Source organism: Homo sapiens, chromosome 10 (genome assembly GCF_000001405.40).
Source record: "Homo sapiens chromosome 10, GRCh38.p14 Primary Assembly".
NCBI classification, from domain to species: domain Eukaryota; kingdom Metazoa; phylum Chordata; class Mammalia; order Primates; family Hominidae; genus Homo; species Homo sapiens.
Genome location: NC_000010.11, coordinates 86532121 through 86556212, shown reverse-complemented (window position 1 = coordinate 86556212; position 24092 = coordinate 86532121). Strand labels below are relative to the sequence as shown.

General features: G+C 47.3%; 2 long non-coding RNA genes across 4 annotated transcripts, besides 2 other annotated features; one reads left to right on the top strand and one right to left on the bottom strand.

The window, feature by feature from the left end:
- The first annotated feature begins 58 nt into the window (after positions 1–58).
- Positions 59–10186, top strand: LOC105378407 (uncharacterized). The gene is made up of 4 exons (XR_946161.1): positions 59–465; positions 2364–2455; positions 5835–5886; positions 10157–10186. It is a non-coding gene; the product is annotated as an uncharacterized LOC105378407 (long non-coding RNA).
- Positions 3847–22378, bottom strand: LOC105378408 (uncharacterized). Of its 3 annotated transcripts, none has more exons than XR_946163.3 (4): positions 21870–22378; positions 21050–21288; positions 20912–20977; positions 3847–4243 (listed from the first exon to the last, which is right to left on the bottom strand). It is a non-coding gene; the product is annotated as an uncharacterized LOC105378408 (long non-coding RNA). The 3 variants fall into 3 exon arrangements; XR_001747525.2 differs by lacking the exon at positions 3847–4243 and having other exon boundaries at positions 20468–20977; positions 21870–22045; positions 22126–22378; XR_001747524.2 differs by lacking the exon at positions 3847–4243 and having other exon boundaries at positions 20468–20977.
- Positions 19608–20157: an enhancer, noted in NCBI's record as "H3K4me1 hESC enhancer chr10:88295813-88296362 (GRCh37/hg19 assembly coordinates)". NCBI's record gives its function as "activates a minimal SCP1, AML or CMV promoter by ChIP-STARR-seq in naive H9 embryonic stem cells {active_cell/tissue: H9 hESC(naive)}" and the evidence as "EXISTENCE:reporter gene assay evidence [ECO:0000049][PMID:30033119]".
- Positions 20392–20631: a silencer, noted in NCBI's record as "silent region_2571". NCBI's record gives its function as "represses an Ori minimal core promoter by ATAC-STARR-seq in GM12878 lymphoblastoid cells {active_cell/tissue: GM12878}" and the evidence as "EXISTENCE:reporter gene assay evidence [ECO:0000049][PMID:35858748]".
- Positions 22379–24092: the final 1714 nt, after the last annotated feature.

Genomic DNA, 24092 nt, shown 5'->3' with positions numbered 1-24092 from the left:
GCAGGAGAATTGCTTGAACCTGGGAGGCAGAGGTTGCAGTGAGCTCAGATCGTGCCATTGCATTCCAGCCTGGGTGACAAGAGTGAAACTCCATCTCAAAAAAAAGAAAAAGAAAAAAAGAATGGAGTCCAATTTCCCTTCCCTTGAATATGGGCTGCTTCTAGTAATTAGCTTTTAATAAATGGGATACAGAGGAACTGACGCAACATGACTTCTGAGGCCAGGTTATAAGAGCAGATCAGCTGCCACCCAGGCTTTCTCTCCTTGGGACACTCATACATAGATCCAGGTGCTGTGATGCAAGGAAACCTAGGCCACACAGAGAGAGGCATATATAGGTGATCTAGCTGAAACCCCAGCTGTGAGGAAGCCTGCAGGCCCCAACCGTGGCTTGACTACAACTGCCTGAAAGATCCCAGCAAGAATTGCCTCGCTGAGTCCAGTCAACTGCAGGAACAGAGTGAGGTAATAAAATGACTGCTGTTGCTTTAAGTCACTATATTTTGGGATAATGTATGCGGAGCAATAAAAAATTGATAAACTCTCTTTTTCAGAGGACTGGTGGAGCCACCAATATTGATTCTCTTTGGGGTGTCCAATGCCTCCTGTGAGACTGCTATTCTTTAATCCTCTTAAAAATCTCCAAATCACCAATCGATAGCCCCACCATGACCTTGCCCTGGATTTTGTTATTCGACACTTGAAAAGTTGACAACTTCTTGGAATTAAATGTATCTGAATTTAAAAAAATGTTCTAGAACATACTTTTGTCACCTCATAATATATTGTTGACAACTTTCCAAGTGAATGCATAGATATCCTGTTATTAAAACAGCTCCCACTGGGTGCGGTGGCTCACACCTGTAATCCCAGCATTTGGGAAGCCGTGGTGGGTGGATGACTTGAGGTCAGGAATTCAAGACCAGTCTGGCCAACATGGTGAAACCCTGTCTCTACTAAAAATACAAAACTTAGCTGGGCATGGTGGCATGAGCCTGTAATCCCAGCTACTCGGGAGACTGAGGCAAGAGAATCACTTGAACCTGGGAGGCGGAGGTTGCAATGAGCCGAGATCGTGCCACTGCACTCCAGCCTGGGTGACAGAGTGAGATTCTGTCTCAAAAACAAAACCTAAATAAATAAATAAATAAAACAGCTCCCGTTTTTAAGGGATTTCCCAAGCCAAATATGCCACCAGATAACACGCACTTACTACTGGAGATTTTGTTAATTTATTCACTTTTACATTTATCCTTTCACTCACTCATTCAAAAAACCACGATGGGCTGGGTGCAGTGGCTCACGCCTGTAATCTTAGCACTTTGGGAGGGCAAGGTGGGAGGATAGCCTGAGCCCAGGAGTTTGAGACCATCCTGGGCAATATGGCGAGATCTTGTCTCTAAAGAAAACAAACAAACAAACAAACAAAAACCATGATGTATTCACTACATACCTAGTGGTCATTCTTGAGAATATAAAAAGATTCTTAGAATTCTAAGTCTTATTTATTTATTTATTTATTTATTTATTTTTTGAGCTGGAGCCTTGCTCTGTCACCCAGGCTGGAGTGCAGTGGCGTGATCTCGGCTCACTGTAACCTCCACCTCCAGGGTTCAAGAGATTCTTCTGCCTCAGCCTCCTGAGTAACTGGGACTACAGGCATGCACCACCACGCCCAGCTAATTTTTGTATTTTTAGTGGAGACGGTTTTACCATATTGGCCAGGCTGGTCTCGAACTCCTGACCTCATGATCTGCCTGCCTTGGCCTCCCAAACTGCTGGGATTACAGATGTGAGCCACTGTGCCCAGCCTCTAAGTCTAATTTTATAGAGACCATTTTTGCTTAAGTTAAGCAGAATCAGTTTTTAATTTTGTAACCAAGAATCCTACACAGAAAAGCAATTCATACGGAGGTATGAGGTATAAGCAATAGACTCAGGGGAATGGAGAAGACATGCGACTGGTTTTCTACCCTAGATAGGGTTGAAGATTACTGTGGTAGGTTGCCCTTAAGATGGCTCACCATAAATTAGCCGGGTGTGGTGGTGCATGCCTGTAATCCCAGTTACTTGGGATGCTGAGGCAGGAGAATTACTTGAACCCGGGAGGCAGAGGAGCCGAGATCATGCCACTGCACTCCAGCTTGGGCAACAGAGCAAGATTCTCTCTCAAAAAAAAAAAAAAGATGGCTCGCCAAGATTCCTGCCTCCTGGTGTTCACCCATGTAATCCAGACCCAATGATTTGCTTCTAACAAAAAGAATATGGCAGAAGTGATGGGATATGACTTTCATGATTAGGTTATCAAAGACTGTGACTTCTGTCTTTCTCTACGCTTTCTGTGTCTGCATGCATTGATGAAGCTAGCTGACATGCTGGACAGCTCCAGATGGCAAGAAATTGAGGTTGATCCCTGCCAACAGTTTGTAAGAAACTGAATCCCGTCAACAAGCAGGTGAGTGAGCTTGAACATAGATCCATCCCCAGTCTTCAGATGAGAACGCAGCCTCAATTGACACCTTGACTGCCACCTTGTGAGAGCTGGCACAGAGGACACAAACTGTGCCCAGATTCCTGACCCACCAACACTGTGAGATCGCAAGTGTGTGTTGTTTTAAGTCTCTAAACTGTGGGGTAATGTATTACGCATCAAGAGATAACTAATACAATAATCATTTAGGGATGGGAACTTGTAAGTTAGGGCACGAGGTGATGAAAGAAGCGATGCAACTGTTGTTTAGGGTTGCCTTTAATGAAGTACTCACTGAGGCAAGGCTCTGAGGGATCCAGGGGCTGCCACCCAAAACAGCATACAGGAAATGAGTAATTCAAGGACTATGGGTGTCACCATTGATTTGAACTCTGCTGGGCAATTTAAGGAAAGAGGTTGATAAGCAATCCTTCCCTTCTTTTATCTTCTTTGTTTCCCGAAAAGTTTAATCCTAAGGGCATTAGGTAAGACATAGCAAGAAAGGCATTTGTGCCCGGAGAGGAGGGAGCTATGGAGGCACGGAGCGGGATGCTGGAGGCTTGTGGGGTAAGGAAGGCATTACGATAGGAGGGCTGCATGGCCTTCAGAGTCAGGACTTGAGCTGGATGAGGAGGGTGTTTACATAGGAGGGTGATCTAGCATGAGAAGGATGAGAAGGGCATCGCTGCAGAGGAGTAGCTTGGTGAGAGTATGAGAGCCTGTCTTAGTCTGTTTTGCACTGCTGTAACAGAATATCTGAAACTGGATAATTTATAAAAAACAGAAATTTTTTTCTCACAGTTCTAGAGGGTGGGAAGCCCAAGATCAAGGTACTGGCATTGTGCAAAGGGCCTTCTTGCTGTGTCTTCACATGGTGGAAGGTGGAAGGGTAAGAGGGAAGGAACCCCCATCCCAAGTCCTTTTACAGAGGCATTAATCCACTCATAAGGGTGGAGCCCCCATGATCTGAACACCTCCAAGAAGGCCTCACCTCTTAACACTGTTGCACTAGAGATTAAGTTTCTGACACACGAATCCTGGGGGAACATTCAGACCATAACAGATTCTGAGCAGGGTAATGAAAGTGTATTAGTTATTTCTTACTGCATAAGAAATTATACTAGGCCAGGCACGGTGGCTCATGCCTGTAATCCCAGCACTTTGGGAGGCCAAGGTGGGCAGATCACAAGGTCAGGAGTTCGAGACCAGCCTGGCCATCATTGTGAAACCCTGTCTCTACTAAAAATACAAAAAATTTAGCTGGGCCTGGTGGTGCTCACCTATAACCCCAGCTACTCGGGAGGCTGAGATAGGAGAATCACTTGCCCTGGGAGGTGGAGGTTGCAGTGAGCGGAGATTGCACTACTGCACTCCAGCCTGGGCAACAGAGCGAGACTCTGTTTCAATTAAAAAAAAAAAAAGAAAGAAATTACACCAAAACTTAGAAGGTCAAAATGGCAATAATCTTTCACTGTCTCACAGTTCCTGTGGGTCAAGAATTCAGAGAGGGCACAGCAGGAATGTTTGTCTCTGTTCTGCAGTGTCTGGGGTCCTGGCTGGCAGATTAAATGATTGAAGGCTGAAATTCTCTTAAGTCTTGACTGAGAGGCTGGAGGATCTTCTTCCAAGGTGGTTTATTTCATACATACCTGTAAAGTTGCTGCTAGCAAGTCAGTTTCTTTCCACATGCGGTCTTTCTACATGTGGCCCCCTCCACAGGACTGTTGAGTATCCTCACAACATGGCAACTAGTTTCTTCTAGAGTGAGCATGTCTAGAGAGTGAGACAAAAGAAGTTATCCGTTTTACAATCTAGCCTAGAGGGTCATATAGTATCATTTCCATCATATTGTATTCATTAAAAGTCAGTTGCTAAATCCAGCCCACAATGAATGGGAGGGGAAGTAGGCTGCACCTTTTGAAGAGTGATGTATCAAATAATTTTAAGACTGCTATGGAGAGCATTCATGTGGAGAGGCAGGCTGGTATGTGGTCTCAAAGCCTGAGCAGAGTAAGGAGGACATACACAGAGCTGGGAAACCGGGCATAGATGTTCAGAGCCCGAGCAGGATAAAGAAGGCATCCATGTGGGAGAGACAGGCTGGCTTGAGGAGTTGAAGCCCAAGTGTGTCTGAGGAGGGTGTCTGTGCTTATATGGGGGTGGCAGCAGTATTGGAAGATGGGTGACATACAGGAGAATGATCATACAAATAAATGCATTAAGAATAATTAGGGCCAGGCACAGTGGCTCATGCCTGTAATGTCAGCACTTTGGGAGGCCGAGGCAGGCGGATCACCTGAGGTCAAGAGTTCGAGACCAGTCTGACCAACATGGAGAAACCCCATCTCTACTAAAAAGACAAAATTAGCCGGGCATGGTGGGGCATGCCTGTAATCCCAGCTACTCCGGAGGCTGAGGCAGGAGAATTGCTTGAACCTGGGAGGCAGCATTGCAGTGAGCCAAGATCACGTAATTACACTCCAGCCTGGGCAACAAGAGTGAAACTCTGTCTCAACAACGGCAACAACAACAAAAAGAATAATTGGACCAGGTGTGGTGGCTCACGCCTGCAATCCCAGAACTTTGGGAGGCCAAGGTGTTTAAGGACCAGGAGTTTAAGGCCAGGAGTTTAAGACCAGCCTGGCCAACATGGCAAAACCTTGTCTCTACTAAAAACACAAAAATTAGCCAGGCATGATGGTGCATGCCTGTAATCTACTCAGGTGGCTGAGGCAAGAGAATCACTTGAACCCAGGAGGTGGAGGCTGCAGTGAGCTGAGATTGTGCCACTGTACTCCAGCCTAGGTGACAGAGCAAGACTCTGTCTCAAAAATAAATAAATAAAAATAAATAGATAAATAAATAAGTACATTAGAACCCAGACCAATTAAATCAAAATTTTTGGGGATAGGATCCAGTGTTTTTTAAGCCTTCCAGGTGACTCCAATGTGCAGCTGAAATTGAGAACCACAGTTCTAGTAGTAGGTCTGGATTCAGCACTGGGTGGGGATGTACAGAATTCAACTCCTCTGGCAGGTCATTCCTCTAGTGAGGTCTCTAAGAACTCTTCAGGCAAGGTGACTCCTCAGACAACCAAGGCTCAGTGCAGTACTGTAAGCCTCAGTGCACTTTTGAGAATCCTTCTATTTACTCATCATTGCCTTTACTTCAACCTAAGGAACTTGGTGAGGCTATGAATTCAACCGATACTGTCATTTATCAAACTATTGCTCAAATTTCAGGTCTAATTTTTGGCTACCTCAGCCCTGTAGCTATTCTTTTAACACAATCACAGAGAGTCACTGGACCATGCTTTAGATTGAGAATTTATAGCATATTCTTTGTCTTTCTTTTTTTTTTTTAGACTTGAAATAATCTCAGATTCCCCCCGCCTCCCAACCAAGAAGCATCTGAGAGTAAGTTGCTGTTGTGATTATCCCCTAATACTTTAGTGCAACCTTTCTCAACCAGGGTTCCTCATGTGAATGACAGAATGAAAATGATTTGAATTAAAAAAAAAAAAATCACCTCACCAGGAACTGAATTAGCCAGAACCTTGATCTTGGACTTCCCAGCCTCCAGAACTCTGAGAGTTAAATTTCTGTTGTTTAAGCCACCCAATCTATCATATTTTGTTTTAGCAGCCCAAGTTGATTAACACAAGGCCTCCTAAGGAAAGGCTTGGAGGAAATGCTACACTGTATACTCAGAAAGTTATTGTAGGCTCTTTCCTTCAGGGTGCATTTATTCAAGGGGCTCTGGACCTGAGAGCTGACTCGGGCTTGGAAATTGGGACAAAAACTGTTTCTTTTTATCATGATGGCTTGAGTCAAGCCTCTGTTTGCCAGACTTCGAGTTTTTCAGTTATACCTGAACCTGTAGAAACATGATGGGCTGTACATCTCTCTCTTCCTGACTTGTTGATGGCTGCTTTCTTGCTACACCCTCACATGGCCGAGGTGCATGTATGTGAAGAGAGAGATCTCCTTCTCTTCCTCTTCTTATAAGGCCAATAATCCCATCATGACAGCCCCATCCTTATGACCTAAACTAACCCTAATTACTTTCCAAAGACCACATCTCTAAATACTATCATATTGGGGGTTTGGGTTTCAACATATGAATTTTGGGGAGAACACATTCAGTTTATAGTATTATGCCCCTGGCACCCTAAAAGTGCACTGAGGTTTACCGTAGCTCAAACTGTATTTTTCATTCATTCATCCCATCCCACCAGTCCCAAAAGTCTTAATTTAGTCCAGCACCAGCTCTAAAGTCTAAAGTCCAAAGTTTCATCTAGACTAGTATGGGTGAGACTTGAGGTGTTCTTCATCCTAAGGCAAAATTCCTCTCCAGTGTTCAACCTGTGAAACCAGACAAATACAATGATGGGAAAGTCATAGGATAAACATTACAACTTCCAAAAGGAAGAAATAGGAGGCTAGGTGCAGTGGCTCACACCTGTAATCCCAGCACTTTGGGAGGCCGAGGCAGGTGGCTCACCTGAGGTCAGGAGTTCGAGACCAGCCTGGTCAACATGGTGAAACCCTGTCTCTACTGAAAATACAAAATTAGCTGGGCATGGTGGCACATGCCTGTAATCTCAGCTACCAGGGAGGCTGAGGCAGGAGAATTGCTTGAACCCAGGGGGTGGAGGTTGCAGTGAGCCGAGATTGTGCCACTGCACTCCAGCACAAGAGCGAAACTCTGTCTCAAAAAAAAAAAAAAAAAAAAGAAAGAAATAGGAAAGAAGGACAGGGTGATGCGACCTAAGCAAGTCCAAAACTTAGCAAGGTGTGTTCCATTTGATCTTAAGTCTGAGAATAATCCTCTTTGGTTTGATGCTGTGCTGTGTAGACCCACTGGGGTGCTGGTCCATCTTGAGGGCTCACTGGGACAGTGGTCTTGCCTCTGCAGCTCTGCCAGGCAGGGTGTGACCTCCAAGGCTCTGGGCAGCCTAGTCTGAAGGCTTTGCATGATGATTCCATCCCCAAGACTTTAAGTGGTGGCCATCTAGCCAGTTGAAATTGAGGCAGGTCTCTGAATCACCATTGGGGTTCTCAAGGTCATTTTTCCAACTTTTTGAAGAAAAACACACATTTTGCAGCCAAATAGCTCCATTGTCCTGTCTTACAGAATCTAAGAAGTCCCACAGTTTTTCTTCATTTCATCCCATATCTGTCCCTTTTTATTCAAACTGGCAAAGTTATAGTCTGGTCACACCCTTAGTGTTCCTTCAGAACAAGCTTTCTCATTTTTTGCAATACAAACAGGCTGAAGACCATCCAAATCTTCAAGTTCTGGTGTTTTTTGCTTAACAATTCCTTTTTCAAGTCATCTCTCTCTTCTTACACTTTACTGTAAGCAATGAGGAGGAACCAAGCCACTCCTTCAACACTTTGCTTAGAAATCTCCTCAGCTAAATATCCAGTTTTATCACCCACAAGTTCTGTCTTCCACAAAACACAGGAAAATTGAAATTCAGCCAAGTTCTTTGCCATTTTATTATGAGGATCATCATTCCTTCAGTTTCCAATAACACGTTCCTTATTTCTGCCTGTGACTTCAACAGGATTTCCCTTAATGCCCATATTTCTAATACTTACCTCAAAACTCTTGTAGCCTCTCCCCACTGTCGAGTTCCAAAGGTGCCTCCATATGTTTAGGTATTTGTTACAGCAACACCCCACTTCTTAGTACTGAAATCTGTATTAATGTGGGTTCCCCAAGTAAAAAGAACCATAAATAAATAAATATATATATATATATGGTGTGTGTATATATAACATATATGTGTATATATACATATATACATACATATACATATATACGTTTATATATATACATATATATACATTTGTGTGTACACACACATAGAGATTTATTTATTTTGAGACAAGATCTGGCTCTATCACCCAGTCTGGAGTGCAGTGGTGCAATCTCAGCTTACTACAACCTCTGCCTTCTGGGCTCAAGCCATCCTGCCACCCTCAGCCTCCCTAGTAGCTGGGACTACAGGCACAAACCACCATGCCCTGCTAATTTTTGTACTTTTTGTAGAGAGGAGGTTTCACTGTTTAGCTCAGGATGCTCATGAACTCAAGCGATCTGCCCATGTCAGCCTCCCAAAGTGCTGAGATTGCAGGCATGAGCTATCATGCCCAGCAAGAGATTTATTAAAAGGAATTTGCTCACATGAGTATAGAGGCTGAGAAGTCCCAAGACCTGTAGTCAGCAAGCTGGAGCCCGAGGAAAGTTGATGGTGTAAGTTCTAGTTCATGACTCAGTCCAAAGACAGGAGAAGACTGATGTCCCAGGTCACAGACAGTCAAGTAGAAACAGTAAAGTTTATGGATAAGTTCCACTCACATTGGAGAGGGCCATCTGCTTTACTAAGTCTACTGGTTCAAATACTAATCTCATCTGGAAACACTCTCACAGACATACCCAGAATAAAGTTTTTGTTTTGTTTTGTTTTGTTTTGTTTTTTTGAGATGGAGTCTTGCTCTGTTGCCCAGGTTGGAGTGCAGTGGCATGATCTCGGCTCACCACAACTTCTGCCTCCTGGGTTCAAGCGATTCTCCTGCCTCAGTCTCCCAAGTAGCTGGGACTACAGGTGTGCGTCACCATGCCCGGCTAATTTTTGTATTTTTAATAGAGATGGGGTTTCACTATGTTGGCCAGGCTCATCTCAAACTCCTGACCTCCTGATCCGCCTGTCTTGGTCTCCCAAAGTGCTGGGATTACAGGTGTGAGCCACCGTGCCAGGCCCCCAGAATAATGTTTAACTAAATATCTAGGCAACCCACGGCTTAGTCAAGTTGACACATATAATTAACCACTACAGGCCTACAAGCTTTTTCCAGATTAACTGTGCAGTGGAGGAAAAAAATAATTTTATCTGAGATTATGGGACACTATAATGAGCTCTAACTCTATTTTCTGGGGATCCAGAACACCTCTTTGATCCACTGGTAGAAATTGAGTTTATGGTGATCAGGTGACAAATGGTGTTTTAGCTTGATTCTGAGGCACTATAGGCTTTCCCTGTCCCAATGACATCAGGCCTGGAGATACGCCAGATATCAGAGACCAGAAAGGCCAATTGTGATATAATGTGTTACTGCCCTGTGGAAAAACCACACATCCATCCTCCATAGAGGGCAGACTTACTTTGGTCAATGCAATGTGAGCATCAGTGACATGTCACTTCTGAGCAGAAGGTTTAAGGCAGTGTGTGGTTTGCCATCTCTCTTTTTCCTCTGGCAACATCTAGATTGGGCCTACTGTCAGCCTGGGTACGCAAATAAAGATGGCCTGAAGCAGAGCTGAAGTTACTCCAAGATGGACATACAGTACGAGAAAGAAAAATTTTCATTGTAAGCTTCTGACATTTGGGTCATTTGTTACTTCAGTATAACTTAGCCTAAGCTGACTGATACATGCTCAAAACCATTCTGGAGTTATTCCCACTTTCCTGAATAGCCATATATAGCTATTGTGAGAATCACAATACCCCCTTAGTTCATGCAATGAAGACATCCAAGTGGAAACCCCTGGAGCTAATTATCTATGCCAAAATTGTAAATCAAAATCAATACTGAATTGCTGGGAGAATCACGAAGATTCATGGTGGTTATTTGTGTCACAACCCATTCTATTCATGTTTGATCATTGTCAATATAGGCTGGACACAGTGGCTCAAGCCTGTAATCCCAGCACTTTGGGAGGCCGCAGCGGGAGGATCACCTGAGGTCAGAAGTTCAAGACCAGCCTGGCCAACATGGTGAAACCCTGCCTCTACCAAAAATACAAAAATTAGCTGGACATGGTGGCACGTTCCTGTAGTCCCAGCTACTCGGGAGTCTGAGGCAGGATAATCACTTGAACACGGGAGATGCAGGTTGCAGTGAAATGAGATCATGCCATTGCACTGCAGCCTGGATGACAAGAGTGAAACTCCATATCAAAATAAATAAATAAATAATTGTCAATATATTTATGTCTCATTTCCCTAACTGTATTATTTTGTTCACTATTCCATATATATTTTGGAGTAGGAATCACGCATCAGGTGCTGTGCAGGGTCCTGAGGGTCACAGAAAGAATAAAGCCAGATTATCCCGCCCTTGAGTAACTCAATCTAGGTAGCACTTGCCTGGATGTGTATTGTATAGTGAGCTAGATGAATATTGTTTATATAGTGAGCAGTGTTTAAATAAAGTTAGAATTAGTTGGCAACATTTAAAAATCAGGAGACTTCACATGAAAAGCTAGATTAATCATTTCTTTTGAAATATGGAAAGATCTGGCAGTTCTGGGTCCTCTCTGTCCCACGGCTATTGTCAGCTGGAGGGGAGCATCTGTCATCCCTTTTGGCAGGGCCTGAGTTTGCCCAGTTCCCTGCAGGCCCCACCACCCCCTCCACCACAGAGAGAGAAGGCACACCTTGGCACAGGACCAGTTCCTGCCCTTCCAAACCACATGGGTGGCTTTGCCTTTACATGGTTGTTGCAAACAAAACAAACAGTCCTAACTGCCAGTCATTTAAAAAGGAATAGTATCCCTCGCCGGATTATTAGGGGGGCATGGTGGCAGGCGCCTGTAATGCCAGCTGCTCAGGAGGCTGAAGCATAAGAATCGCTTGAACCCAGGAGGCAGAGATTGCAGTGAGCCGAGATCGCACCACTGCACTCCAGCCTGGGCAACACAGTGAGACCCTGTCTGGAAAAAAAAAATAGGATAATATTCCTCTTTCTATGTCAGGAATACTGGATGCACTAACAGAGGTGGATGCTCTGAGGCTCTGAGGCTTCAGTCTGCAGGACCTCCCCTCAGCCCATCTTCTTGCCAGGTACTAGGTAGTTCATATTAAAACAGATGTAGCTTTTAGGCTAAGTGTGGTGGCTCATGCCTGTAATCCCAACATTTTGGGAGGCTGAGGTGAGTGGATTGCTTGAGTCCAGGAGTTTGATACCAGCCTGGGCAACATAGTGAGACCCCTGTCTCTACAGAAAACAGAAAAAAATAGCCAGCCAGCCTGGGCAACACAGTGAGACCCATCTCTACAAAAAAAAAATATAAAAATTAGCTGGGCATGGTGGTGCATGCCTGTAGTCCCTGCTACTTGGGAGGCTGAGGCAGGAGGATTGATTGAGCCCAGGTGGTGAAGGCTACAGTAAGCCATGATTGTGCAACTACACTCCAGCCTAGGTGACAGAGCAAGACTCCGTCTCAAAAATCAAACCCAAACAAACAGATGTAATTTTAAAAATAACAGACTTAATTAGCTGGGTGTGGTGGCACGTGCCTGTAGTCCCAGCTACTCGGGAGGTTGAGGCAAGAGAATCGCTTGAATCTGGGAGGCGGAGGTTGCAGTGAGCAGAGATTGTGCCACTGCACTCCAGCCTGGGTGACAGAGTGAGACTCTGTCTCTAAATAAATAAATAAATAAACCGACTTTATTTTTAGAACAGTTTTAGATTTACAGAAAAATTGGCCGAGCATGGTGACTCATGCCTGTAATCCCAGCACTCTGGGAGGCTGAGGCCGGCAGATTACTTGAGGTCAGGAGTTTGAGACCAGCCAGGCCAACATGGTAAAACCTCGTTTTTACTAAAAATACAAAAACTAGCCGGGCATGGTGGTGGGCGCCTGTAATCCCAGATACTCGGGAGGTGGAGGTTGCAGTGAGCTGGGAGCCGAGCTCACGCCACTGCACTCCAGGCTCGGGGACAGAGCGAAACTCCATCTAAAAAAAAAAAAAAAAGATTTGCAGAAAAATTGACAAAATAGTACAGAAAATTTCCATATACCTTACATCCAGTTTCCCCTATTATTAATATCTTACCTTAGTATGGTATACTTGTTAAAATTAATGAACAAATATGGATATAATATCACTAACTAAAGTCCATACTTTATTCAGCTTTTCTTGATTTTTACCTAATAGCCTTCTCATGTGGCAGGAGCCCATCCAGGATACCATATTACATTTACTTGTCACGTCCCCTTAAGCTGCTCTTAGCTGGGACAGTTTGTCTGACTTTCCTTATTTTAATGACTGTGACAATTTTTTTTTTGAGACAGGGTCTGGCTGTCACCCAGCCTGGTGTACAGTGGACTGATCTTGGCCCATTGCAACCTCCACCTCCCGGGCTCAAGCCATCCTCCCACCTCAGCCTCTTGAGTAGCTGGGACTACATGTGTGCACCACTACACTGGCTAATTTTTTTGTATTTTTTGTAGAGATGGGGTTTCACCATGTTCCCCACGCTGGTCTTGAACTTCTGAGCTCAAACTATCCACCTGCCTCAGCCTCCCACAGTGCTGGAATGACAGGTATGACCCCACTGCACCTGGCCGACCATGACAATTTTAAGGGGTACTTTAAGTTCAGTGTTTTTGTTGTTGTTGTTGTGTTGTGTTTTGTTTTTTTTCTTTTTTGAGACAGAGTCTTGCTCTGTCACCCAGGCTGGAGTGCAGTGGCGTGATCTCAGCTCACTACAACCTCCACCTCCCAGGTTCAAGTGATTCTCCTGTCTCAGCCTTCTGAGTAGCTGGGATTACAGGCGTCCACCACCATGCACAGCTAATTTTTTTGTATTTTTAGTAGAGACAGGGTTTCACCAGTTGGCCAGGCTGGTTTTGAACTCCTGACCTCAAGTGATCTGCCCACCTTGGCCTCCCAAAGTGCTAGGATTACAGGCGTGAGCCACTGCACCCGGCCAAGTTCAGTGTTTTGTAGTATATCTAATAGAATTTATTTGGTGTTTTTCTCATGGTTGAACTAAGGGTGTGGATTTTTAGGAGTAGAACCACAAGGTAAAGTCCCATTTTCTTCTTCTTTTTTTTTAGATGGAGTCTTGCTCTGTCGCCCAGGGTGGAGTACAGTGGCGTGATCTCGACTCACTGCAACTTCTGCCTCCCAGGTTCAAGCAATTCTTCCTGCCTCAACCTCCCGAGTAGCTGGGACTACAGGCATGCACCACCACACTCAGCTAACTTATGTATTTTTAGTAGACACGGGGTTTCACCATATTGGCCAGGCTGGTCTTGAACTCCTGACCTCGTGATCCACCAGCCTGAGTCTCCCAAAGAGCTGGGATTACAGGTGTGAGCCCCCATGCCCGACCAAAGTCCCAAAGTCCCATTTTCATCACATCATATCAAGGGTACATACTCTCCCCTTTTTTTTTTTTTTTTTTTTTTTTTTTTGAGACGGAGTCTCTCTGTTGCCCAGGCTGCAGTGCAGTGGTGCGATCTTGATCTCTCTCGGCTCACTGCTACCTCCACCTCCCAGGCTCAAGTGATTCTCCTGCCTCAGCCTCCATAGTAGCTGGCATTACAGGTGCCCACTGCCACCCCCGGCTAATTTTTGTATTTTAGGGTATATACTCTCAAAATGACCTATCAATATGACATATCAATGACTTGATCACTTGGCTGAGGTAGTATTTGTCAGATTTCTCCATGCAGTTTTTTTTTCTCTTTTTCTATATGTACTCTTTGGAAGGAAGTCACTAAGTACAACCTACACTGAAGGAGTGTGGAGTAATGTTCCCTTCCCTGAGGGCACAGTAGCCATATTAATTATTTGGTATTCTTCTGCATGGGAGATTTATCTGTAATTCTCCTTTTATCTATTCAATCATGTATTTATATTGGTACAGACTCACAGATATTTATTTTATACTTTGGTTCATAATCCAATATTATTGATTTTGTTTCTTAAATTGTTCCTGCTTTGGCCACTGGGAGCTCTTTTCCATTTGTCTTTGTTTTTGCTGTTTTTGAGACAGGGTCTCATTCTGTTGCCAAGGCTGGAGTGCAGGGGTGCGATCTTGGTTCATTGCAGCCTCAACCTCCTGGACTGAAGTGATCCTTCTACTTTAGCCTCCTGAGTAACAGTGACTACAGACAGGCACCACAGACATGTGCCACTATGCCTGGCTAATTTTTGTAGTTTTTGTAGAAATGAGGTTTCACCATGCTGCCCATGTTGGCCTTGAACTTCTGAGCTCAAGCAATCCACCCGCCTCAGCCTCCCAAAGGTGCTGGGATTACAGGCGTGTGCTATTGCGCCTGGCTCATTCGTTTTTTTGACATAGCCTCAGCATTGGATTTTTAGGTTTTTGTTTTTTAGTACTCCCTTACTTTCTGACACTACAAGGTACTCCAGGATCATCTTATGTATTTCCTACCCCCAGTCCTAGAATCAGCAGTTTCTCCTAGGGGCCCTAGTTCCTTTTATTAGAGAATGGTATTAGAATGAAGATCTGAGAGATAGCTAGGTATAATTTTTATTTTTTATATTTTGCTACACTAAAGAACAAAAATGATCGTTAAAAAATTATTATTATTATTATTTTGAGACGGAGTCTTGCACTGTCGCCCAGGCTGGAGTGTAGTGGCGCCATCTCGGCTCACTGCAACCTCCGCCTCCCGGGTTCAAGCAATTCTCCTGCCTCAGCCTCCCAAGTAGCTGAGATTACAGGCGCCTGCCACCACGCTTGGCTAATTTTTTGTATTTTTTTAGTAGAGGTGGGGTTTCACTATGTTGGTCAGGCTGATCTTGAACTCCTGACCTCGTGATCCGCCCACCTTGGCCTCCCAAAGTGTTGGGATTACAGGCATGAGCCACTGTGCCCAGCCTTTTTTTTTTTTTTTAATTTAAAAACTGTTGAAGGCCGGGCACGGTGGCTCACGCCTGTAATTCCAGCACCTTGGGAGATCAAGGCAGGTGGATCACTTGAGGCCAGGAGTTTGAGACCAGCCTGGCCAACATGGTGAAAGCCTGTTTCTACCAAAAATACAAAAAAATTAGCTGGGCGTGGTGGCACACGCCTGTAATCCCAGCTACTTGGGAGGCTGAGGCAGGAGAATCACTTGAACCCAGAGTCGGAGGTTGCAGTGAGCCGAGATGGTGCCGTTACACTCCAGCCTGGGTGACAAAGCAAGACTCCATCTCAAACAAACAAACAAACAAACAAACAAACAAACAAACTGTTGCGGGCCAGGCGTGGTGGTTCATGCCTGTAATCCCAGCACTTTGGGAAGCCGAGTCAGAAGGATCACAAGGTCAGGAGTTCGAGACCAGTCTGACCAACATGGTGAAACCCTGTCTCTACTAAAGATACAAAAATAAGCTGGGTGTGGTGGCATACCTGTAATCCCAGCTACTTAGGAGGCTGAGGCAGGAGACTCGCTTGAACCCGGGATGTGGAGGTTGCAGTGAGCTGATACAGCGCCATTGCAGTCCAACCTGGGCGACAGAGCGCGACTCTGTCTCAAACAACAACAAAAAACTGTTGCGTCCCTAGGGCCAAGCACCTCAGATTGGCCTGTGTCCAACCTCAGAATCCCTGTCCTGCCTTTCCTTTGGCAGTCAGGCTTAGATGCTGTTTGGCGGCCTTCCTTCAGGTGGGTACCAGCCTGGCTCAGGTGGGTACCAGCCTGGCTCAGGTGGGCACTGATGAAACAAGTGCACAAAGGAAGGAGAAGCTAATGTTGTGGGAGGGGCCGAAAGAAATCTTAAACCTTTAGAGCGGCTCAGGAAGAGCAGGAAGTGCTTCTGAAAAACAGACACTATGGCTGCCAGCTGTTTTAGATTCCCCAGCCCCAACTTGCTCTGGAGACCTCCAGCCCCCAACCTGCTGCCTGGTACACGAAAGGCCTCCATCAGCATCTGCTGAGCGTCTCACTCCATTGCTGTGGAGCAGCCCACAGGATATAAGCAGAGCCCTCAACGTGGGAAGCCCCAAAGTAGTTCTCCAGCCTTACCACTCATTTTATGTGGAAGAATCCTGCAAGGTTTTTGAGTCCTAGGATTTATTATGCATGCCTTCCAATGTCTGGAGATTTCTTGGTGGCATCTCCAGTCAAAAGAACATTTGGCGGATTACCTTGGAAGTGAAGTCATCACAGGTGTCCTGGAGCACTGCCCAGTCAGCAAGGTAATGCTATGAATTGTGAGAATCCACTGGCCTAACGGGGTAGAGGGAAGGATATAAAGTGAAGTCAAGGCCCTGCCCCAGGAGTGTGTCAGCCATGGGGACGCAGACAACCCCTAGGCAGTGGGCCCCACATCAGAAGGCTCACCCAGTTGCTGGTGAGGCTGGGAGGTGAGGACCCCTGGCTGCCGCGGAGGAAGGGTGAAAGAAATAATTTGGGTCGGGATGGGTGTAGAGAAAGGGGATACTCCCACAGCCAAGCTCACTGCTAGTAAGAAACTAGCTGTACAGCCCAAGCCGCCTGCTGGGGAACAGCAAGTGGGCCAGCAAGGGGCACAAGCAGGGAAGTGGGTATCAGGAAGATGCTGAACAAGATTCCTAAACCTGGGCTTGGGCAAACTTCATGGGGGAGCCTGAAACAAGGTGCACACAAAACCAGAAGGACATGCACATTTTTCAGGTGACAGAGACTTAACAAAACATGTCTTGACCGGGCGCAGTGGCTCACACCTGTAATCCCAGCACTCTGGAAGGCCGAGGTGGGCGGATCATGAGATCAGGACTTCAAGACCAGCTTGGCCAACATGGTGAAACCCCGTCTCTACTAAAAATACAAAAATTAGCCAGGTGTGGTGGCGCATGCCTGTAATCCCAGCTACTCCAGAGACTGAGGCAGGAGAATTGCTTAAACCCGGGCGGGGGCGGAGGTTGTAGTGAGCCGAGATCGTGCCACTGCACTCCAGCCTAGGCGACAGAGCAAGATTCCGTCTCGTTAAAAAATAATAATAAAATAAAATAAACATATCTGTTTCTCAAAGGTTGAGGCTGTTAGCACCAGGGAATGTAGGCACCAAAGTCTGTAAGTGGTGGCAAATCCTTGCCTCCTCAGAAAAAAGAATTCCACCAAGTGGCATAAGATGGGGAGGGAGAGAGGCAAGTTTTGGAGCAGAAGTGAAAGTTTTATTAAAGTTTTAGAGCAAGAATGAAAGTAAAAGCACATGGCCGGGTGCGGTGGCTCATGCCTGTAATCCCAGTGAGAAGTGAAGCCAGCTGGACTTCCTGGGTCGAGTGAGGACTTGGGGAACTTTCCTGTCTTACAAGAGGATGATAAAACGCACCAATTAGAAACTTTCCTGTCTTACAAGAGGATTGTAAAACGCACCAATCAGCACTCTGTAAAACGCACCAATCAGCAGGATTCTAAAAGTAGCCAATCTGCGGGGAGGATTGAAAAAAGGACACTCTGATAGGACAGAAACGGAACATGGAGCAGGGGGAGTGGGGGAGAGTGGGGGGTGGGGCATGGGGGCGTGGGTGGGGGCGTGGGTGGGGGTGGGGGTGGGGGGCGTGGGTGGGGTGGGGACAATAAGGGAATAAAAGCTGGCCACCCCCAGCCAGCAGTGGCAACCCGCTTGGGTCTCCTTCCACGCTGTGGCAGCTTTGTCCTTTTGCTCTTCACAAGAAACCTTGCTACTACTCACTCTTTGGGTCCATGCCATCTTCAGGAGCAGTAACACTCACCTGCCAAGGTCCCCGGCTGCATTCTTGAAGTCAGCGAGACCACAAACCAACTCTGGACACACCAGCACTTTGGGAGGCCGAGGCAGGTGGATCATCTGAAGTCAGGAGTTCAAGACCAGCCTGGCCAAAGTGGTGAAAACCCATGGCTACTAAAAATACAAAAATTAGCTGGGCGCGGTGGTGCACGCCTGTAATCCCAGCTACTTGGGAGGCTAAGGCAGGGGAATCACTGGAACCTGGGAGGTGGTGGTTGCAGTGAGTGGAGGTCGCACCACTGCACTGCAGCTTGGGTGATAAAGACTCTCACACGAAAAATAATAAAAATAAAATAAAAAGTTTTAGAGCAGGAACAAAATTAAAAGTACACTTGGAAGAGGGCCAAGTGGGCGACTTGAGAGATTCAAGTGCACGGTTTGGCCTTTGACTTGGAATCTTATAAGTTGGCATGCTTGGTGGGTGTGTGGGGTGGTTGCATCCCTTCTCCCCTGATTCTTCCTTTGAGGTGGCCTGCCACTACTTGGGAGGGGCCTCTGGCACAGTGTGTTTACTGAAGTGGTGTGCATGCTCACGAGGTGTTTTTCTCTTACCAGCTGAGTGTTCCCAGAGAGAACTCATATGCCAGTTCAACTCCACCATTTTGTCTCTTAGTTCACATGCTTGAGCCTACTCGCCCAACTCCTGAGATCTAATTAGGAAGCTGATCACCAGTTTTGGGTTTTTCTATCTATTGGGGAGACTGCCTTTCTCTGGCGCTGGATGAGATCAATTACTATTTTAGACAGCTTAACAGCCTCCTGACGATCACGTGATGGTCTTCTGATATTCCTAGGGTTGGAGGTGGGGCTCTCCTGCCCTGCTTATGTCTGCCGCTACCCACTGTAACAACACTGCCACGCAGGCTCTGCATCAGGAGACCCACTGCGGCTTCTGGACAACACGAGATGAAACCCAGGTTGCCCAGGACCTTCTGCTTGCCAACTGGTCAGGAGTCGTGTGGCTATCTCACTTGTGCCTCCTAAATCCCTCTCTCGGAAGGGGAGGTGGAGGGGTGCTGGTATTGTCCTCATTTTACCAAACCTCACGCCTAGTTCCCTTTCCACCATCCCTGGGGCCTTCCAGAAGAATCTCTGTGCTTGGAGAAAGGAGTACACAGCCTGAGGCTGGGTACGGGATGCAAACATCCATTCATTCAACTATTTCTTGGGAACTGGGGCTGCGCAGGACAGGGAGACCCGGGACACTGTCCTAACGGAAGCCAAGACCTGGGGAAGCCCAAGTTGGACTCAGCTAATTATAATTGCAATTATAACTTCGTACTCGAGTGCTTTCAAGGGTTGCCGAGGAGGCGAGGAGGGAAGGAAGGGGCCACAGGTCTGTGGCTGTCGGGTTTGCTGTGCCAGTTTCTGCCGGATGGAGGCCGCGAGCATGGGAGAAAGGGCGCAGCGAGGATGGCAGGAACCGTGTAGCCGGCGGGCCTTGCTCCCCACCTCAGGTTTGCGCCCACACCCTCTTCCTGGGGCTGCGCAGGCCTCACCTCGAAGGTACTTCTCAGGGGGAGGCTCAGAGGTGCGGATGTTCACGTCGTTGGGGCTGCCATGGCTGCGGTTGCTAAGCCCTTTTGGACTCACAAGTCTCAGATAAGATCAAAGCCCAGGTTGGGGCGGGCGGCCTAATCCGCCGCGGCTCCCGGGTCCCGGGAGGCCCCAGCACCGCGCGGACAACGACTGAAAGCAGAGACGATGCGATCTCGAGCGGGCCCTGGCTCAGCGCTGGCGCCCGCTTTCGGAGCCAGGACTGTCCCTCAGAGCAGCCGGGACACTGGCCCGGCCGGGAAGGTCACCTGCGCAACAAAGGCGGCCCAGGCAGCCCCAAGGTAATGCCCAGGGTGACCCCAGTGCAAAGGGGAGTCCTGGGGGAGAAGCAGCCTAAGGCACCCCGCCCCCAAATCCGGGGGCATTTATTTGAAATGTTAATGTTTTGGCCGGGCGCGGTGGCTCACCCCTGTAATCCCAGCGCTTTGGGAGGCCGAGGCGGGCGGATCACGAGGTCAGGAGATCGAGACCATCCTAACACAGTGAAACCCCGTCTCTACGAAAAATACAAAAAATTAGCCGGGCGTGGTGGCAGGTGCCTGTAGTCCCAGCTACTCGGGGGGCTGAGGCAGGAGAATGGCGTGAACCCAGGAGGCGGAGCTTGCAGTGAGCCGAGATCGCGCCACTGCACTCCAGCCTGGGCGACAGAGCGAGACTCCGTCTCAAAAAAAAAAAAAAAAGAAAGAAAGAAAGAAAAAAGAAATGTTAATGTTTTGAAGCCTCCCCTCGGCCCAGATCCGTCTCCTAGAAAACGGGCAGAAGCGTCTGTGGGATTACTAAACAAACCGACTCTGGCTTGGGTGCGAACCCAGTAAACATGTGTTGGTGTAAGCTAGAGAGGCCGGTGTACACGGACGAACCGGGTAAATGATTACACAGCCCCGACCCCTCGCCTTAAAGTATCCTTGGTGCACCGATTTCAGGACTTGAAGTTTTCCTGGGCCACAGACCTTTATTTGCGCGTGTCCTTTACGCCCTCCACCCCCGCGCAGGAACCGCGGAATCCAGGTCACAGGTGGGGGCGGGGAGGCCCGGGCAGGGCGGCTGCGGCGCAGCTCTGGCAGAGCCCAACCCTGGCCCCGCCCAGGTCGCAGGCCTCGCCCAGGTCCCGCTGGGCCGCAGCCCGGCCTGCACTCAGCCGCCAAAGTCTCCGCCACGCCTCGGGACGTCCTTGGGTAGCCCGGACCACGCGGGGTCGGGTGTCCCTGGCCAGGAGGCCGCCACGCCCGGGGAGGACACAGAGAGTGTCACAGCGGGAGCTTTTTAGAAACCTTGGCATGCGTTTCCCTGTCCACATTGGATAGTTGTCGAGTTATTGCCAAAATTATCTAGTCAGATCCTTTTCCCAGCTCAGCTACTGGCAATGGTAATCATACCTGCACACACTTTGGGTGCGCTGAGACACTGCCGGGCGCTGTTCCAAGCTCTTCTCATGGATTAACCTGTGATAAGGCGACCAAAGTTAGTCATCTGGCTTCTTTCGAGAACTGGCAGGTCACCTGCCCTCCACTCACCTGGTGGGGTGAGAGTAAATTGGGGCGTGCTCCCCTTTTGGATATGGGGTCCAAGCTGCGCAGACATGATTGCCAAGGGCCCGGGGCTCCTGTGTGCTGGAGAGGGGCTAGGTAGGGCATCAGGCACCGTCTTGATTCTGGAACATTTTTTAGGCCCCTCTACAGTTCTCCAACTTCAACATTCTGTAATCCACGAAATCCTCCAAGCTTCCTGAGCTTCCAAAAGGTTTCGCCTCAAGCTGGGAGAACCCAATAGAGTGATCATTTTTCAACCAAGGGAGCCAACATTCATACATAATAAAGCCAGTTACACAAAGGCCAGAATTCTTTCCCACTCTCCAGAGAGAGGCCCCTCAGCTCAGGGAATCTGCAGGGCTGCCCAAACAACCCAAACTATGGGCCAGGCTAGGGGCGCATCAGAGGAATGGGGGCAAGCCGGAGAGCTCCTCTGCCCACTCAGATGCTGGAGTTCCTAACACGAAGAAACCCTCATCAGGTTATTCCTGAGCACTTCTCAGAAAGCACAGTTCCTCCCTTTTCTTTGCCCCAAGGGCCAGTTGCAGAGCCCATGGCCCAGCCGTGGGATGCTGTGAAGGGAGGAAGAGCCGCTTATGGTGGAGGAGCTCCCTCCAGGCCCCAGCAATACATCTGGATGCTGTGAAGAACCAAGTGGGCAGGGCAAAAAGAGACATGGCCTGGTTAAGACAAGGCACTGTGACCTTGACTTCAATAACCTGGCCTGGTAGATGTCTGTCTGCCACCCTACCTTTGCTGCTCACAAATACCTGATCTCTCCCCAGGCCAAAGCATCTCCACCTACCGTTCCTCACTCCTCCTTGAACTTGGCTTCTTCCTCTAAACAGCTTTGAGTTCTCGATCTTGATCCTCACTCCTCCAGGCTTGAGCCTCTAGCTTGAAATGACAACAGAAGGATGGGGTTCCTCTACCTGGCTTGATATTCAGGGCCCAGGACAGCACATGCTTCATGCCTGGAACCTTTGGAGAAAGATAGTTTTGGTTTAAAACTCTGGCTCTGTCACATTAATCAGCTGGGTAACTTTAGGCAAGTCATTTACCATTGTACAGTATTCCTTAAGATTCTTATCAGAGAAGTGGTAGGATGATGCAGCTCTGTTAAGGAGACAAGACATCAATGACAATGTAAATAACAATGTAAATTACAATGCAGGGAAATATGCATTGTGGCTGGCAAAGAATAGGGCTCAGTAAATGGTAGCCTTCTCCCTAGGTAAGAATAAAGCAACTCAGCACCTAGGAGGCTGCTTGCCTTTGTTCTTTCATTAAAATTTTTTTTTTAGAGACAGGGCCTTGCTCTGTAACTCAGGTGGGAGTGCAGTGGCATGATCATAGCTCACTGTAACTTTGAACTCATGGGCTCACGAGATCCTCCTGCCTCAGCCTCCTGAGTAGCTGGAGCTTGCCTTTGTTCTCACACTCTCTTCTGAGGCTCCACAGTTTGGAGGTAGAGACCGCAACATCGGTAATGTTGCTGCCAACTCCACCTCCACTCAGTCATGCCCTGGAAGTTAAATACCTGAAACTGTATGGCCATGGCATCCTTGCTTGGGCAAGCAGCATTCAGAAGCAGATTGGCTTTCAGAGCAGGTGACACCCCAGAGGCTTCTCTCCTGATGTCATTATGGGCAAGCAGTCAGCAGTCAGTGAGCAGGGCCTCACTGCTGGGATCTTGTTCCTAACTGGGTGTCCTGCTGCCTCTCACCTAGAAAGTGAGCCCAAGCAGATTTTCCCTGACATTCAATAGCCTTGTTCTGCTTCCACTGTTTCCATCTCAAGGTTATTAATTCTTTGCCCACTCATGGCTATCAGAATTCTTTTTCAACATTTCCAAGATTAATATATAGAATATACAGACCCTCTTTTTTTTTCTTTTTCTTTTTTTTTTTTGAGATAGAATTTCACTCTTGTTGCCCAGGCTGGAGTACAGTGAAGCCATCTCTGCTCACTGCAACCTCCGCCTCCCAGGTTCAAGCGATTCTCCTGCCTCAGCCTCCCGAGTATCTGGAATTACAGGCGCCAGCCACCACACCCAGCTAATTTTTGTATTTTTAGTAGAGACAAGGTTTCGCCATGTTGGCCAGGCTGGTCTCAAACTCCTGACCTCAGGTGATCCGCCCGCCTTGGCCTCCCGAAGTGTTGGGATTACAGGTGTGAGCCACTGTGCCTGGCCCATATCCATCTTCTAAATTCTTACTAGAAAGAAGCACAAAAATGACCAAAACGTATGTTTGCTTTGCTGTATCTTTTTATTTTTTTAAACCTTTTTCAAGATGGATAGGGTCTAGCTCTGTTGCCCAGGCTGGAGTGCAGTGGCACAATCATAGCTCACTGTAACCTTCAACTCCTAGGCTCAAGTGATCTCCCACTACAGCATCCCAAGTAGCTGGTGTTAACAGAAATATGTTAACAGTGGAGGGTGTCCGTGTTCTTGGTGTCTTGAACAAATAATTAGACAAAACGCACAAACAAAGCAAGGAAGGAATGAAGGGATTTATTGAAAATCAAAGTACAGTCCACGGTGTGGGAGTTGGCCAGAGCACGAGGCTCAAAGACCCCATTACAGAATTTCTGGGAGTTTAAATACCCCCAGAGGATTCCACTGGTTACTTCGGGTACACCCTATGTAAATGGAGAGGATGAAGTAAAGTTACAAAGTCATTTATGGCGTATGCCCTATGGAGAGGATATTTCCTGTTATAGCTAAAGTGTGAATTGGCCTTCTGTTCCCTGCCTCCAGACCATATTTTCCTGCCTCACTGGGACTACAGGAACATGCCACCACACCTGGCTAATTTTTTGGTTTTGTTTTTTTTTGAGATGGAGTCTCACTCTGTTGCCCAGGCTGAAGTGCAGTGCCACAATCTCAGCTCACTGCAACCTCTGTCTCCCGGGTTCAAGCGATTCTCCCGCCTCAGCCCTCTAAGTAGCTAGGACTATAGGCGTGCACTACCATACCCGGCTAATTTTTTTGCATTTTTGTAGAGATGGGGTTTTACCATGTTGG